The sequence below is a fragment of the Homo sapiens genome, chromosome 3 (assembly GCF_000001405.40).
Source record: "Homo sapiens chromosome 3, GRCh38.p14 Primary Assembly".
NCBI lineage: Eukaryota > Metazoa > Chordata > Mammalia > Primates > Hominidae > Homo > Homo sapiens.
Window position 1 is genome coordinate 189,892,967 of NC_000003.12, and position 6,000 is coordinate 189,898,966.

Genomic DNA, 6,000 nt, shown 5'->3' on the forward strand with positions numbered 1-6,000 from the left:
ATTTTCTCCTCCTCACCTCAGCTTCTTCCTGCGTATTTCTAGAAAGAGACACCCTTTTCTCAGCTTTTATCTTAGAGCCAGTCTAAGTTATTGGGCATCATCACTTCCTGGAAAAGGAATGTGACCTAAATTTGGGGAACTTCATTAGTATCCCCATAACATGCAAAAATGAGGTAACAATACAACATAATAATAATACAAATGGTTAATATTTATAGAGTGTGTTGTAATTTATAAAATACTTTCATAGCTGTATTTACCTATGAGTCTATAGCATCTTTTGCCCTATAAAGCAATTGTATCTCATTTTACCAAAGAAGAAACTGAGGCTGGTAGAGAATAAGTGACTTGCTGAAGTTCTATAGCCAGTCAGTGACCATCAAAACCTCTGCCACAGTTTTCTCACTCCAAGCACAATGTGCTGTTTACCTACCATTCTGCCCTGTGAAAATATGAGCTATCACTGAAACAATCTAAAGAAGAGCTAACGCAGATAAATGTAAGTGATATCACCACAGTCAGTTAAGGTTGACCCTATTTGCAATGCCTTCTGCACCCATTCACAGAACATAGACACAGTTGCTCTGCATTTTGATACCTTGCTTTATTCAAACACCAAGAGACCTTTTAGATAAAAGTGCCGTTTCAGGTTCTGAGGATGCCCTAAGTCCCTAATTTTTTCACTTAGTTATGTGACTTTAAACTTGTCAACCTCTCTGGCCTTCAGTTGTTCTATCTATAAAACAGGTCTAATAATGTTTACCACTAATCTGGGGATTAAATGATATCATGAATATAAAATAATTCAGGGCCTGGCACATAGAAAGTACTCAATCTTTTCTTCTCATCTCCTCAACCAAGTGGTGGTGACATTCCATTAATACCTTTCTTCTAGTGACTAGCCAGGTAAATTCAAGCATAAGTAGGTACCTCATGTTTCTATTTGGGATTTTTGCCCTCTCATCTAGCTATTATCCCAATTTTACCAATGAAGAAACTGAGGCCAGTAGAGACTAAGTGAAGTGTTCTACACAGGCAGGAAAGACACCTCAAGGCTGTGCCTTTGTGCTTAGTTCCATAGAGTTGAAGACTCAGAGAACTAATTTTATTTTCTAATTTGTGGATCAATAGATTCAGATCAATTAAACCAGAGCATCAGGGAATGATAGGATGCTGTGGACTAAATGTCCGTTTTTCTCCCTGTTTTCATTCTCCATGACACCTTCCCCTGTTGCACAGGATCTGGCAAGTCTGAAAATCCCTGAGCAATTTCGACATGCGATCTGGAAGGGCATCCTGGACCACCGGCAGCTCCACGAATTCTCCTCCCCTTCTCATCTCCTGCGGACCCCAAGCAGTGCCTCTACAGTCAGTGTGGGCTCCAGTGAGACCCGGGGTGAGCGTGTTATTGATGCTGTGCGATTCACCCTCCGCCAGACCATCTCTTTCCCACCCCGAGATGAGTGGAATGACTTCAACTTTGACATGGATGCTCGCCGCAATAAGCAACAGCGCATCAAAGAGGAGGGGGAGTGAGCCTCACCATGTGAGCTCTTCCTATCCCTCTCCTAACTGCCAGCCCCCTAAAAGCACTCCTGCTTAATCTTCAAAGCCTTCTCCCTAGCTCCTCCCCTTCCTCTTGTCTGATTTCTTAGGGGAAGGAGAAGTAAGAGGCTACCTCTTACCTAACATCTGACCTGGCATCTAATTCTGATTCTGGCTTTAAGCCTTCAAAACTATAGCTTGCAGAACTGTAGCTGCCATGGCTAGGTAGAAGTGAGCAAAAAAGAGTTGGGTGTCTCCTTAAGCTGCAGAGATTTCTCATTGACTTTTATAAAGCATGTTCACCCTTATAGTCTAAGACTATATATATAAATGTATAAATATACAGTATAGATTTTTGGGTGGGGGGCATTGAGTATTGTTTAAAATGTAATTTAAATGAAAGAAAATTGAGTTGCACTTATTGACCATTTTTTAATTTACTTGTTTTGGATGGCTTGTCTATACTCCTTCCCTTAAGGGGTATCATGTATGGTGATAGGTATCTAGAGCTTAATGCTACATGTGAGTGACGATGATGTACAGATTCTTTCAGTTCTTTGGATTCTAAATACATGCCACATCAAACCTTTGAGTAGATCCATTTCCATTGCTTATTATGTAGGTAAGACTGTAGATATGTATTCTTTTCTCAGTGTTGGTATATTTTATATTACTGACATTTCTTCTAGTGATGATGGTTCACGTTGGGGTGATTTAATCCAGTTATAAGAAGAAGTTCATGTCCAAACGTCCTCTTTAGTTTTTGGTTGGGAATGAGGAAAATTCTTAAAAGGCCCATAGCAGCCAGTTCAAAAACACCCGACGTCATGTATTTGAGCATATCAGTAACCCCCTTAAATTTAATACCAGATACCTTATCTTACAATATTGATTGGGAAAACATTTGCTGCCATTACAGAGGTATTAAAACTAAATTTCACTACTAGATTGACTAACTCAAATACACATTTGCTACTGTTGTAAGAATTCTGATTGATTTGATTGGGATGAATGCCATCTATCTAGTTCTAACAGTGAAGTTTTACTGTCTATTAATATTCAGGGTAAATAGGAATCATTCAGAAATGTTGAGTCTGTACTAAACAGTAAGATATCTCAATGAACCATAAATTCAACTTTGTAAAAATCTTTTGAAGCATAGATAATATTGTTTGGTAAATGTTTCTTTTGTTTGGTAAATGTTTCTTTTAAAGACCCTCCTATTCTATAAAACTCTGCATGTAGAGGCTTGTTTACCTTTCTCTCTCTAAGGTTTACAATAGGAGTGGTGATTTGAAAAATATAAAATTATGAGATTGGTTTTCCTGTGGCATAAATTGCATCACTGTATCATTTTCTTTTTTAACCGGTAAGAGTTTCAGTTTGTTGGAAAGTAACTGTGAGAACCCAGTTTCCCGTCCATCTCCCTTAGGGACTACCCATAGACATGAAAGGTCCCCACAGAGCAAGAGATAAGTCTTTCATGGCTGCTGTTGCTTAAACCACTTAAACGAAGAGTTCCCTTGAAACTTTGGGAAAACATGTTAATGACAATATTCCAGATCTTTCAGAAATATAACACATTTTTTTGCATGCATGCAAATGAGCTCTGAAATCTTCCCATGCATTCTGGTCAAGGGCTGTCATTGCACATAAGCTTCCATTTTAATTTTAAAGTGCAAAAGGGCCAGCGTGGCTCTAAAAGGTAATGTGTGGATTGCCTCTGAAAAGTGTGTATATATTTTGTGTGAAATTGCATACTTTGTATTTTGATTATTTTTTTTTTCTTCTTGGGATAGTGGGATTTCCAGAACCACACTTGAAACCTTTTTTTATCGTTTTTGTATTTTCATGAAAATACCATTTAGTAAGAATACCACATCAAATAAGAAATAATGCTACAATTTTAAGAGGGGAGGGAAGGGAAAGTTTTTTTTTATTATTTTTTTAAAATTTTGTATGTTAAAGAGAATGAGTCCTTGATTTCAAAGTTTTGTTGTACTTAAATGGTAATAAGCACTGTAAACTTCTGCAACAAGCATGCAGCTTTGCAAACCCATTAAGGGGAAGAATGAAAGCTGTTCCTTGGTCCTAGTAAGAAGACAAACTGCTTCCCTTACTTTGCTGAGGGTTTGAATAAACCTAGGACTTCCGAGCTATGTCAGTACTATTCAGGTAACACTAGGGCCTTGGAAATTCCTGTACTGTGTCTCATGGATTTGGCACTAGCCAAAGCGAGGCACCCTTACTGGCTTACCTCCTCATGGCAGCCTACTCTCCTTGAGTGTATGAGTAGCCAGGGTAAGGGGTAAAAGGATAGTAAGCATAGAAACCACTAGAAAGTGGGCTTAATGGAGTTCTTGTGGCCTCAGCTCAATGCAGTTAGCTGAAGAATTGAAAAGTTTTTGTTTGGAGACGTTTATAAACAGAAATGGAAAGCAGAGTTTTCATTAAATCCTTTTACCTTTTTTTTTTCTTGGTAATCCCCTAAAATAACAGTATGTGGGATATTGAATGTTAAAGGGATATTTTTTTCTATTATTTTTATAATTGTACAAAATTAAGCAAATGTTAAAAGTTTTATATGCTTTATTAATGTTTTCAAAAGGTATTATACATGTGATACATTTTTTAAGCTTCAGTTGCTTGTCTTCTGGTACTTTCTGTTATGGGCTTTTGGGGAGCCAGAAGCCAATCTACAATCTCTTTTTGTTTGCCAGGACATGCAATAAAATTTAAAAAATAAATAAAAACTAATTAAGAAATTGTGTGTGTGTCTATCTGTGTCTGTTTGCCTATTTGTCCATTCTTCCATCCTTTGGCCTTGTTGATATTATCGAGGAAGAAGAGATACCGAGCAAAACACTGGAGAGTTTCAGATGTTGACGTTTCTCATCTGAGAACAAATAATCATTCTTTTCTCATTTTAGCCAACCTACAAAATAGGAAAGACCAGAATGGCATTTTCATTTGGTGAATGAGACATTCAAAGTTTTAATACCTTATTTGATTGAGGTCAGAAAGAGTTTGCTTTAGAACAGGGACTAGACTTCAAATATTCCTAATGTCTAACTTAGTGACCTTCCGATGATACTCAGCAGTGACCTCATCAGTACTGTGGGAGTGGAAAGCAAATAAGCTGGTGGTATGTGGGAGCACGCTGCAGATGATGGGCCCTGACTGGGCCATGTTCCCTTTTAAATTCATTGTTAAATATCACCCTTCAGTTATGTACATTGATTTAGCCAATACTATCTCTATCAAAATGGGTGAATTATTTTTATTAAATAAGAATGTATATTACTTTATGGGATAACATTGGATGGCATGAATACAATATAATGCCTTAGACTTATAAAATAAACTTTTCAGAATAACAAAAATATATACTAGAGATATCAATTTGTTTTTCTATTTATAGATATAATCACATTATAAAGATATGTTCATATAGGCAAGCAGGTGCAGCCAAAATATTCAATTCTTAGTCCTTGCAGTCTAGGTGATAGAGTGCCAGAAATGAAACAGTTAATTCAATTATGCTAGCATGAGGAATATAAAAGAGCTATAAAAATGATTAATAATTGATCTGTCATTTGGGCTCTTTCAATTTTAATTTTTATTTTTTCAGTAGTTCTATTTGTATGAATTGGTAGTTCATGACTTTTATTTACTCTTAGCTGTCTTCTGGAGTAAAAGAAAAACCTACTTTTAAAAAAATGCATTTGCTTAGAATTATTGGGTCTGTTAAACCCTTTTACAAATACAAAATGCACTATGGAAACTCGGCGATTTTCTTCTTTTTCATGTCTTGAGACTTTATTTTAGCCGTTCTAGAAATTGCTTTATTTTTATCCATCAATTCTAATGAGTAAAAAAAGAATAAAAACCAAGAAGAATGGTGGGATTGCCCAAAACCGTGCTGTCCAATATGGTAGTCACTAGCTACATGTAATTATTGAGCACATGGATGGAGCTAGTCAAAACTGAGATGTGCTGTATATGCAAAATACACATTAGACTTCAGGGACTCAAAAATATAAAATAACTCCTTGATAATTGTTTAAATTAGATGTTGAAAATAAATATTTTGGGTTAAATATACTGGAATTAATTTTACCCGTTCCTTTATATGCTTACTACAAAATTTAAAATTATGTAAATGGATTTCATTGTAGTTCTATTGGGCAATTAGCTAGAAAGATGATGTAATAAGAAGCCTGTTAGGATGATGAAATGAAGTTACTATTTACTATTGTGTAATTATCCAGGTTTTTTGGTTTTTTACTGGGTTGCTCATTAGTATTGCATCAGTTTTCAACAAAGTATAGAATAGGAGACAATATCTTTGTAGTTAGGATTTTTCATTTTCTCCCCATAATGGTAAAGATATTAAAACTGACAGAGAAAAGCATTTCAAAATTGTTACATCAGAATATGAATACAAAACACAAT

The 6,000-nt window shown here is 35.9% G+C and overlaps 1 protein-coding gene across 11 annotated transcripts in view; it reads left to right on the forward strand.

Moving 5' to 3' along the window:
• The window catches only part of TP63 (tumor protein p63), a 300,531-nt gene extending 296,221 nt beyond the window's left edge, over window positions 1–4,310 (forward strand). For all 11 annotated transcript variants that reach the window (NM_001329964.2, NM_003722.5, NM_001114978.2 and 8 more), the window contains one exon: window positions 1,240–4,310. In NM_001329964.2, coding sequence (NP_001316893.1) covers window positions 1,240–1,536 — 297 coding nt within the window. In that variant the 3' untranslated portion in view covers window positions 1,537–4,310. The remainder of the gene's footprint in view (window positions 1–1,239) is intronic.